Below are 12082 nucleotides of genomic sequence, written 5' to 3'. Positions count from 1 at the left end.
AAATGCACACTTGTAAGTGTGCAGTTTGATGAGTTTTCACAAAGTGTGCATCCACACAGGCCCACCTCGCTAGCAGAGCCCTGTGACAATGACTCAGCCCTTAGAGCACCTGCTAGGAGAGAAGAGTTGGAGGCAGGAACTTCTTCCAGTTGCCTTATGTGCAGAGAAGGAGGCCGAGGCCCAGAGATCACTTGTCCAAGACCACCCCTGGCTTAGCCAGAGCCCACACTGAAACCCAGCGTTCTCAGCTCTTTTCTTGGCATTGTGCAAAGCCGCTTGCAAAGAAAGTAGTGACTGCCCCATTGAAGAACAAGGGGAAGCAATGCAGGCTTTTGAGCAGGGGAGCAACATGAAGAAAGTAGCATGTTATCATTTTGAAGGCCTCCTATATCTGAACCACCTCTGATTCTGTCGTCGCTATTAAGTGCTTTTTCTCTTGGTTTTCAGTGATCTAGTCCCTGCCTCTTTTTTTTTTGGAGACAGAGTCTTACTCATCCCCCAGGCTGGAGTGTAGCGTAGCGGCACGATCTTGGCTCACTGCAACCTCCGCCTCCCGGGTTCAAGTGATTCTCCTGTCTCAGCCTCCCGAGTAGCTGAGACTACCGGCATGTGCCACCATGCCTGGCTAATTTTTGTATTTTTAGTAAAGACAGGGTTTCATCATGTTGGCCAGGTTGGTCTCAAACTCCCAACCTCAGGTGATCCACCTGACTTGGCCTCCCAGTGTGCTGGGATTACAGGTGTGAGCTGTCGTGCCCTGCCCTTCCCACATTTTTGAGACGGGGTTTTGCATGTGTTGCCCAGGCTGGAGTGCAGTGGTACAATCATGGTTCACTGCAGCCTCAAACTCTTGGGCTCAAGCGCTCCTCCCACCTCGGCCCTCAGAGCAGCTGGGAGTACAGGTGTGCACCACCATGCCCAGCTATTGTTTTCGTTTTTTGTAGAGATGGGTTCCCAGTGTGTTACCCAAGCTGGTCTCAAACTCCTGCGCTCAAATGATTTTCCCACCTTGGCCTCCTAAAGTGCTGGGATTATGGGCATCAGCACCATGTCTGGTGATCTGGTCCCTTCTTCTTTTTTTATTTTTATTTTATTCTTTTTTGAGACAAGGTCTGACTCTGTTGCCCAAGCTGGAGTGCAGTGGCATGAACAGGGCTCACTGCAGCCTCAACCCCCTGAGCTCAAGTGATCCTCCCACCTCAGCCTCCCTCGTCCCTGGGAATACAGGCATGCACTCCCGGCTTCTGGTCCCTTCTAAGAGCATGCCTTGTGCTATGGTTTGAATGTTTCTCCTAGACTTTATGTGTTGGGAACTTAATCTCCACAATTATATGCTTTTGGAGGTAATTAGGATTGGATAAGGTCATCAGAGTGGGCCCCCATGATGGGACTAGTGGCCTCATAACAAAAGAAACGGGCCGGGCGCGGTGGCCCACGCCTGTAATCCCAGCACTTTGGGAGGCTGAGGTGGGCGGAGCACGAGGTCAGGAGTTGGAGACCAGCCTGGCCAATATGACAAAACCCCGTCTGTACTAAAAATACAAAAATTAGCCGGGCGTGGTGGCAGGTGCCTATAATCCCAGCTACTTGAGAGGCTGAGACAGGAGGCAGAGGTTGCAGTGACCCAAGATGGTGCCACTGCACTCCAGCCTGGGTGACAAAGCGAGACTCCATCTTGAAAGAAAAGAAGAGAAAGAGAGACTTGGGCTGGCGTGCTCTTGCCCAGCGCCATGCTCTTGGACCTCCAGCCTTCAGAACTGTAAGAAACAAACCTCTCTTCTCTATAAATTACCCACTCTTAAGCTATAGCAACAGGTAACAGACTAAGACACCTTGTAACTTTTCTTATTCTTTTTTTTTGCTCTGCGATTACAGGCATGAGCCATCGCGCCCAGGTTAGCCCTGTCCAGACTGGCTTTGGGGGTTACAGCCCTTGTTCCCAGGGAGTGGAACTTCTGTGCTCCCAAGGGAAAGCCTGTGATGGTCACCAGCCCCCGCCCCCCACAGGGCTTGGTCTCCAGCCCGTCGCAGCTGCCAACACCCCTGCTCAGCTCTCCATCCTCCCGGGAGCCTTTTCTGTTGGGTTTCTTGGAGTTTCTTGGGGGCATATTCAGCTTAGGGGGCGGCCACGGCCTGAAGGGGATTTGCACTCAGGGCTTTGGGCTCTTTCTCCAAGTTCCCTCAGGCCCCAGCAGGTTTGGAGCCTCAAACTCTAATCCCTGTTTCTCAGCTCGGCAAGGCTGTGCTTTCTGTTTTTGGACCTCCACGCCAATGTGGGAAGATGCCCCACAAGGAAAACCAGGCTGAACGTGGGCTCACTTTCTTGTTTATGTTCGCTCAAGGGATATAGCCCCGGGCCCCACCAGCGCTGGTTACTCCCCACAGGCCCCGTTACATGCGTGTATCACACAGCGAAGCGTGTGTGTCCAGCCTGTATCCATGTCTTCAGCGGGAGGCCGAGTGCCATACCAGCGGTTCTGTCTGAAAGCATTTTACGAAGGATAGCCCTTGCTATTTCCTCAAAGAGCCACCAGAGGGCACTCCCACTCCGCCCAGCCGCTGTTCCCGGGGGGAAGGGGGGATGGGGGGGTGAAGGGTGATAGAGGGGTGGGGGGGTGGGGGGGTGGGGGATGGGGGATGGGGGGGTGGGGGTGGTCCCAGGCCCTGGACTGCAGGTGAAACCTGCAGGAAGCCCTGTCTGTTCTGTGTGGGACCCCCACTTCCATCATGGCCCCCACCACAGACACAGTGAGTCCACTCCAGTCCCTGTCCCAGCCTCTGGAGGGATGCTGGCTCTGACCCCATCTGGCCCCCTGCCTTTCCCTCGAGATGTCCATGGGCCCCCAACTCTTTGACGAGGTCTCAGACACCCCAAGGAGGCCGGGGAAAGGATTCCCGGCGCAGCTGAGCTTGAGGCTGGGGGCTTTTCTGTTGTTTCTGCAGCCCCAGGGCCTGGCACCGTAGGACCTCTGCAGGCTGGTGGGGGTGAATGAATGATTGATTGATGAATGAATGAATGAATGAATGTCAGTTCAGCTGCCATTTCACCGCCTGGAATTTGGGACTCGGACTGGCTTCCTGGCTCCTCAGCTTGCAGACGGCCTATTGTGGGACTTCACCTGGTGATCATGTGAGTCAATACTCCCAGTAAACTCCCCTCCATGTATACATCTGTCCTATTAGTGCTGTCCCTCTAGAGAACCCTGACTCATATACTGGGGGTGACGTCAACGCTGCTGTGACTGTCATTTTCTGGTTCTAGAGAAACAGTGGACCCACTGAGACCAAGGGCAAGGGGAGGAAAGGCCCGGGGTAGGGCTGAAGACACAGGTTCCAGGCCCAGCTCTGCTGCTCACCGATGAGGCTTCTCCTCTGTTGAGCAGGTACAATCGTAGGGCCCTACTCTTGAGCTTGCCGTGTGGGTTGACGGTGGCGGTCCACATACGAACACTCAGCGTGGTGCCTGGCATGCAGACAGGGTTCTGTAAATCTCGGTCGTCGTAGACGATTCCATTTATTACCACCGAGCACTTCATGACCCCTTTAGGCAAAAGACTTCCCTCTCTGGACCCCTGCCTCCACTTCTACGTGGTGGCGGGTTCAGGACTGATGGCTCTGTAGCTCCATCCCATGCCATTTCATTCCATTTTCTTCCTTAGCTTCTCCATGTCTTGGCTTCTCTGTTGGGGTGATTTCAGCACCACATGGAGGACAGCAGCCTGGGAGCTGTCCATGGAGCTGAATTCATGGGAGGGCACCTGGTGGAGAAGGCGGGGTCGGGCTGGAGGTGGGGGTGGGAGGGAATCAGCAGGGGATGGCCAGAAATGGAGGGAGCTTGCGTCCATTGGGCACAACTGGGTCTTCCACGCCATGACAGCTCATGGAGTCAGCCTTTCCTGTCGTTCCAGGTAGCCCCAGTTGGGAGCTGAGGTGTGTTGATTGGGGCTCTGGGAACCATAGCCTGCCAGCTGTGGCTTGGCCATCCCCTCTGCCAGCGCTTTCCCGCCCATCAGCCCTTTTCTCTGGAGTCCCTCCTTCAGCCAGGTCCTGAAAAGTCATACCTTTTGGCCAAGCTGCTGAAAATACTACTCAGCCAGAACTCATGTGCTCATGCCAGCCTCATTCATGACACCCTCCAAACCAGAAACAGCCCAGGAGCCGATCAACAGCTTCATGGGAAAATGTATTGCAGTCTATCTCATCGCCGGGCCCTTCCGTGGCCGTGGAGACGGGCGAATCATGGTCTATCCCGTCGCCGGGCCCTTCCGCGGCAGTGGAGACAGGCGAATTGCAGTTATGCGCAGCAAGGAAGCCTCTCTCAATCACATTGAGCAGAAGTGGCCAGGCTCAATTCTGTGGAATTCTGTGTGGATCACAAACAGGCAACATAGAGGATGGTGTTTTGGGGTGCATGTTGAGGGAGAGACGGGGTTCTCTTCATCACAATGGTGGCTGGCCTCCAGGAAGGGAGGGACAGTGGCTGGGAGGCCAGGGGCCTCTGGGATGCTGAAAAATTCTTTTTCTTCTCCTTCTTCTTCTTTTTTTTTTTGAGATGGAGACTCACTGTGTGGCCGAACCTGGAGTGCAGTGGTGGGACCTCGGCTCACGGCAACCTCTGCCTCCCAGTTGAAGTGATTCTCATGCCTCAGCCTCCTGAGTAGCTGGAATTACATGCGCCTGCCACCATGCCAGGTTAATTTTTCGTATTTTTAGTAGAGATCGGGTTTCACCAGGTTGGCCAGGCTGATCTCGAACTTCTGACCTCAGGTGATCTGCCCACTTTGGCCTCCCAAAGTGCTGGGATTACAAGGCATGAGCCACAGCACCCAGCCCAGAATGGTTAATTTTATGTTATGTGAATTTCACTCAATAAAAAAAAGACAGGAAGGGGAAAGAAAGAAAGAAAAGGCAGGGAGCCGGGCATGGTGGCTCATGCCTGTAATCCCAGCACTTTCGGAGGCCGAGGTGGGTGGATCACGAGGTCAGGAGATTGAGACCATCCGGGCTAACATGGTGAAAACCCGTGTCTACTAAAAATACAAAAAATTAGCCAGGCGTGGTGGTGGGCGCCTGTAGTCCCAGCTACTCAGGAGGCTGAGGCAGGAGAATGGCGTGAACCCAGGAGGCGGAGCTTGCAGTGAGCCCAGATAGTGCCACTGCACTCCAGCCTGGGCGACAGAGCGAGACTCCGTCTCCAAAAAAAAAAAAAAAAAAAAAAAAAGGGCAGGGAACACCAGGGGGCCCAGGGGAGTCAAGGTGCCTGTGAGTGTCCCCAGCAGCCCACCTCTCCTCCCCTCCCCCCAGCCTGCAGGCCCCGGAAGCACAGGGCTGTGCCCTGGAGAAGTCTGGAGTGACTTTTAAAACACAGATATGGGGACCCATCCGATTCTGAGTTTCTGGCCAACAGCGCTCCGTGTGGTTCAGAAGTTGTATTGTTTCAGGACGGAAGCAAAGTCCAGCTAACAGCTGTCAAGGGCTGGCCTCTTGCTGGGGCCTTGGGCCCGACTTTCTCCTTTGCTCCTCCCAAAGGCGCTGGGAAGCAGGGTGCTGATGGTAAAAAATGAAGCTCAGAGAGTTTCAGTGCCGAACTCAACATTGCACGACCAGGCACAGGAGGGCACGGGACTCACAGCTCCGGAGCTTGAGGGGACGCGGGACTCACAGCACCGGAGCACGGGAGGGCATGGGACTCACACTCCCAGAGAACGGGAAGACAGGGGACTCACACCCCCAGAGAATGGGAGGACACGGGACTCACACCACCATAGCACAGGAGGGCATGGGACTTACAGCGCTGGTCCATGGGAGACGCGGGACTCACACCCCCAGAGAATGGGAGGATGCAGGACTCACACCCCCAGAGTACAGGGGGACATGGGACTCACACCCCTGGAGCATGGGGGGATGCGGGACTCACACCCCCAGGGAACGGGAGGATGCGGGACTCACACCACCAGGGAACGGGAGGATGCCTGACTCACACCCCCAGGGAACGGGAGGACGCAGGACTCACACCCCCAGAGCACGGGGGGAACGCGGGACTCACCCCCCCGGAGCACCGGGGGACGCGGGACTCACCCCCCCGGAGCACGGGGGGACGCGGGACTCACCCCCCCGGAGCACGGGGGGACGCGGGACTCACCCCCCCGGAGCACGGGGGGACGGGCGACTCACCCCCCGACGGGGGGATGCGCGACTCACACCCCCGGAGCATGGGGGGACGCGGGACTCACCGCACATCTTTAACTCCTAATCCCATCTGCTGGGGAGGCTGCGGCAGGATGAACGCTTGAACCCAGGAGGCAGAGGTTGCAGTGAGCTGAGATCGCGCCACTGCACTCCAGCCTGGGCGACAGAGCGAGACTCTTTTGTCATTTCCCTTTTTACTCAATGGCTACTTTGGTTTTTCTTTTCTTTTTTTTTTTTGAGATGGAGAGCTGGAGTGCAGTGGCACGATCTCTGCTCACTTGAACCTCCGCCTTTTATGTATTTTCAGTAGAGAGAGGTCTAGAAGGCTCAGCTGCAGCCGCCTGCCCCGCAGGGCATTCCTGGCCCAGAAAGGGTAAAATCAGACTCTAAACTCATTCAGCTGAGTGGCTTGTCCTGGGTCTGCTGTAACAAGTGACACCAATGGGCGGCTTAAAGCCACAGAAGCTGGCTGGGCACAGTGGCTACACCTGCAATCCCAGCACTTGGGAGGCTGAAGCGGGAGGATTGCTTGAAGCCAGGAGTTCAAGTCCTGGCTGGGCAGCATAGTGATACCCCCATCTCTAAAAAAAGATGGTGCACGCCTGTAGTTCCAGCTACTCTGGAGGCTGAGGTGGGAGGCTTGCTTCAGCCCAGGAGGTCGAGGCTACAGTGAGCCGTGATTGCACCACTGTCTCAAACGACAACAATAGTGACAACAAAAACACTCAGAAACATATCGCCTCACAGTTCCGTAGGCCAGATGTCTGATAGCAGAGTCATGAAGTGGAACTCGAGGCACGGGCAGGGCTGCAGGCTGCAGGGAAGGCTCCCCACGGCCTCTTCCAGGTTCCCAGGCCTCAGGCATCCGTGGCTCCCGTGCCTTGAGGCTGCATAGCTCCTGCTCTGCCTCTGTGGTCCCACGCCTCTCCTCTTCCATCTGTGTCCAATCTCCCTCTGCCTCCCTCTCAGGAGAACTCATGATCACGTCGGGTCTGTCCAGATGCCTTCTTTCTCTCCATCTTTAACTCAATCATGTCTGCAAAGACCTTTCTTCCATTCTTCCACATACAGTCACGTTCACAGGGTTAGGGTTAGGGACATGGATGTCTTTTTTTTTTTTGAGACGGAGTCTTGCCTGTGACCCAGGCTGGAGTGCAGTGGTGTGATCTCGGCTCACTGCAAGCTCCGCCTCCCGGGTTCACGCCATTCTCCTACCTCAGCCTCCCAAGTAGCTGGGACTACAGGCGCCTGCCACCACGCCCAGCTAATTTTTTGTATTTTTAGTGGAGACAGGGTTTCACTGTGTTAGCCAGGATGGTTTCGATCTCCTGACCTTGTGATCTGCCCGCCTCGGCCTCCCAAAGTGCTGGGATTACAGGCTTGAGCCACCACGCCCGGCCAGGGCACCCAGCCATTTTCAGTGGCCACATCACGTGTGAGTGAGGGGACCAGTTTCTGAGCGGGGACCCTGGTTTCTGAGCCCCCGTGGTGTGCTCAGTCCTTGTGAGGTTATGGTGAGGTAAGAATAGTGGCCCCCAGCGTGGAGCCTGTTTCCATTTCTCTTTTTCTCCTTCTAAGGCAGTACAGGCGGCCCAGCTGTGCCCTCCCGAGCAGGTGAGGCTGGCTGAACCCTCTGGGTTTTCCATCCTTGCCTGTAAGTAGAGCTGAAAACAGCACTTTCGCCCAGGTGCTAGGAAACGAGATGCTGTGTGTAAAGTGACTGGTGGCTGCCTGGCCTGGTGGTAAAGGTCCCGGAAATGGGTGACTGTGTGAGTCCAGGCTCACACTGCTCTAAAGAACTACTGGAGACTGGGTCATTTATGAAGAAAGAGGTTTAATTGGCTCACAGTTCCACAGGCTGTGTAGGAAGCATGGCTGGGAGTCCTCAGGAAACTCACAATCATGGTGGAAGGTGAAGGGGAAGCAGGCACGTCCTCACATGGCGGCAGGAGAGAGAGAGAGAAAGTGGGGGGCGGGGGAAGTGCCGCATAGTTTAAAACCATCAGATCTCGTGAGAACTCACTATCTGAGAATAGTGAGGGGGAAATCCACCCCCGTGATCCAGTCACCTCCCACCAGGCCCCTCCCCTAACCTTGGGAATGACAATTCGACATGAGATCTGGATGGGGACACAGAGCCAAACCACATCAGTGGCTTTAGGGAGATCTGAGTAGCAATGAAGGCATGGCCCGCTTGGGAGAAAGTGTCTGCAGGAAGCGCCTTGTGAATTCTGCGGTGCTCACCATGGGCTGGGCGGGTTTTCAGTGGGGGCAGCAGGGCCTTGGAGATGGGGCCACACTCTGGGGAACCCTTTGGGTCGGGGAGTGAGCCCCGCTCTGTCTAGACATAGGCAGTCCCAGCACAGCAGAGGGCGGTCCTTAGGTCCGGAAGGGGGCACAGTCAGGCGCGAATTCTGGGCCCTGAGCTGGGGCCATCATCTCCTCCCGAGAGAGAGCACAGGTGCCATTGCAGGTGCTGCTAGGGTGCTGCGTGCCCTCCGAGCTTGGCGACGCTCCACTGAGCTGTGTGAGTCTCCGTCCTGGGCTCCGTGGAGACCAGGATGATAATAAGATGAGGACCAGTGGCTTCCAGGAGCCCCAGTCTTAGAGGTGGAGACAAAGAGCTGTGGAGGGGCTGGGGGTGGAGAGGAGCCAGGGGGTGGGCAGAGGGGGTGGGGATGGGGCGGGAGGCATGGAAGGGGCAGGGGAGAGACGAAGGGCCACTGGAGCCACATTAAGACAGAGGGGAAGTGTTAAGACTTGGAGCTGAAAATGCTGGGAATTAAGCGGAAATTCTGCTAAAAGTTTATGGTAACACACTGGGATGGGGGCCGGGTGCAATGGCTCATGCCTGTAATCCCAGCACTTTGGGAGGCTGAGGCAGGCAGATCACTTGAGGTCAAGAGTTCAAGACCAGCCTGGCCAACATGGCGAAACCCTGTCTCTACTTAAAACAAAAAATTAGCTGAGTGTGGTGGTATGCGCCTGTAATCCCAGCTACTTGGGAGACTGAGGCAGGAGGATCGCTTGAACCCTGGAGGCGGAGGTTGGAGTGAGCCGAGATCGCCTCACTGCACTGCAGCCTGGGTGACAAGAGTGAAACTCTATCAAAAAAAAAAAAAAAAGAAAGCCAAAAATGCTGAGAATTAAGGCAAAATTCTGCTAAAAGGTTATGATAACACCTGGGATGGGAAAGGTCAGGCGTGCAGGATGAGGCCCGAGGGAGAGAGATGCCCCTTGCTTGGCGCCTTGCAAGGCTGGAGGAATGGGGCCGTGGGGAAGGGCGGTGGCCCCTGGCTCAGACAAGGGTTCCCTGGTGGAGGGTTGGCAGCTGTGGGAGGGAGCGGGGAGGCTGGGAGCTGCAGGGCCTCCCTCAAAGCCAACCAGGCCTTTGGCGCCAGCATGGAGGGGCTTGGACCAGCCCTGGAAGGGGAGTCCTTTGTCCCTGTCTCCCTGCCTCCCAGCTGCCCACTGCCCATCCCTGCTCAAGAGAGGAGGCGGGAAGGCTGTGTCAGGGAGGCCCAGCTGGGCTGGGGGTGGGGCCGAGGTTGCTGCTGCGGGTCTTCAGATGAGGACTCGAATGCTCCCAGGGGCCTGGCTGAGGCGGGACCAGCGGAAGGAGTAGGGAGGAGGGCTGGGACAGAGACTGGGTCCCTGAGATACAAGGCAAGGGCAGGGGCCTGGTGTGAACTCGCCCATAACCTCCAGGTTCGAGTCTCTCCTCCTGAGTGCTCCAGACCTGACCCTTGCTCTTCCCTTGGGACCCCACTGGCAAAAGGGACTTTGCAGATATGACTGAGTTAAGGATCAAGAGAGGGGAGATGACCCTGGATTATCCGGGCGGGTCCCCCTGAACCACAAAGGTCCTCGTAAGAGGCGGGCAGCAGGTCAGAGAGGAGAGGAGAGGCTGCCCTGCTGGCTCTGAAGATGGAGGAGGGGCTGAGAGCCAAGGAACGCAGGCAGCCTCTGGAAGCTGGGAAAGGCGAGGAACGGATTCTCCCCGGAGCCCTTCCAGGAGGAAGCAGCCCTGCCCACACCTCAGTTTTAGCCCTGAGAAACCTGCGTTAGCTTCTGGCCTGCAGAACTGTGAGAGGATGAAGCTGTGTGGTTTCAAGCCACTAACTCTGGGGTTTTTTGTTCCAGCAGCCACAGGACCCTCGTCCAGAGACCAGCACCCCAGCCTGACCGGGGCTTCCTGGTGACCTGCCCAGGCTCCCACCTCTCTGCTAGCTGGGGCTGTAAACATTTTATACTTGTGATGAGGCCACCAGCAAACGCGGAGGCCTTCCTCCGGCGGTGACCCAGTGATGAGCCTGGGCCGATGTCCCCAGGCACACTGGGGTTTTCACAGAAGCAATAACATCTCTGTCATTTTTTTCCAGACCTCACTGAAGATCCCCCTACCCCAGGCTCAAGTCAGAGAGAGAGGAGGTGGCAGTGCCGGAATTTCAGCTGCGCATCCGTCCCAGCTCTGCACTGCGGGCGTCCGTCCCAGCTCTGCACTGCGTGCGTCCCGCCCTGGCTGGAGCTTGCAGACGGCAGCCCTGCAGGAACCCACCGGGGCTGACTCCTTCCTCCCCAGATCCCACAAAACAGCAGTGGATCTCCACTCGGCACGCATTCCCCTCTACATTCACACGAAGTGTCTTTTAATGGAAAGTGTATAAACTCGTTAATTTTGGTTACTGCACTGAAGTTAGGCAAGCTTCTGCAGCTTTATTAAATGACCAATGCTGTCCCTCCTGAGTGTGAAATTAACTCACTTTTCCTTTTTTTTTTTTGGGGGGATGGAGTCTTGCTCTGTCACCCAGGCTGGAGTGCATGGTGCCATCTCAGTTCACTGCAAGCTCCGCCTTCCGGGTTCATGCCATTCTCCTGTCTCAGCCTCCCGAGTAGCTGGGACTACAGACGCCCGCCACTGCGCCCGGCTAATTTTTTGTATTTTTAGTAGAGATGGGGTTTCACTGTGTTAGCCAGGATGGTCTCAATCTCCTGACCTTGTGATCCGCCTGCCTCAACCTCCCAAAGTGCTGGGATTACAGGCGTGAGCCACCGCGCCTGGCAGATTAACTCACTTTTCATGGCAGGTTTGAGGGAGACAGAGAAAACTCTTCTCTCACCTGAAACCGTGGCTTTGAGAAAAATAAAGTAGAACGACCGTGGCTCTTGGGAGCACTATCTGAAGGACTTGGCAAAATGTTTCCTCTTAGTGGCACCTGTGATGCCAGGTCTATGAAAAGCCCAGGGAGCCCGGCTGGCACCACCTCTGTGGCGTCCTGTGGGCCTCTGGCCATGCTGTGTCGTGGGAGAAAGAGCCGCCACGCAGCTGTGTCTTGGAGGAGCCTCCCCGCTGCTGTCAGAGGTGCAGCGTGCACTTAAATAGCAAGAACCCAGGTGCAAAGCCTTGAGGCCTGGGGCTCGGTTTCTACCCCTGTGAGGTCCGGGGCTCGGTTTTTGCCCCGTCACACGTGACCACCAGCCGGGAGGTGGGAGGCTTAAAACAACAGAAATTTACTCTCTCAAAGCTCTGGAGGCCACAAATCTGAAACCAAGAGGTCTCAGGGCTGCCCTCCCTGCAGGGCTCAGGGAGGCCCCTTCCTGCCTCTCCAGCTCCTGGCTGGTGGCTTTCTCGCTGTCCGTTTTCATACAGCCCCTCCTCTGTGTCTCTGTCTCCTTCTCCTTATCAGGACATAAGCCGCAGCAGCCCAGAGCTGTGACCCTTCATCTTACCTTCATTACCTCTGCAAAGACCCTGGTTCCACATCCACAGGTCCTGGGGCTAGGGACACGGCTCAACCTAAAACAGCCTCTAAATGAGGGGGTTTCAGAGGAAGATTGCCCCAGCCCCTCCGTGCCGAGAAGGATTTGGACATGGAGGAGTACGGGAAGGGCA

At 56.1% G+C, this 12082-nt stretch overlaps 1 long non-coding RNA gene across 1 annotated transcript; it reads left to right on the top strand.

The window, feature by feature from the left end:
- The first annotated feature begins 2650 nt into the window (after positions 1-2650).
- Positions 2651-4531, top strand: ZC3H18-DT (ZC3H18 divergent transcript). Its single transcript, NR_146877.1, has 3 exons — positions 2651-3130; positions 3263-3383; positions 3909-4531. It is a non-coding gene; the product is annotated as a ZC3H18 divergent transcript (long non-coding RNA).
- The last annotated feature ends 7551 nt before the right edge of the window (positions 4532-12082 follow it).

Source organism: Homo sapiens, chromosome 16, assembly GCF_000001405.40.
Source record: "Homo sapiens chromosome 16, GRCh38.p14 Primary Assembly".
NCBI lineage: Eukaryota > Metazoa > Chordata > Mammalia > Primates > Hominidae > Homo > Homo sapiens.
Note: the sequence above shows the minus strand (reverse complement) of the source record. Positions and strands in the feature narration are given on the sequence as shown.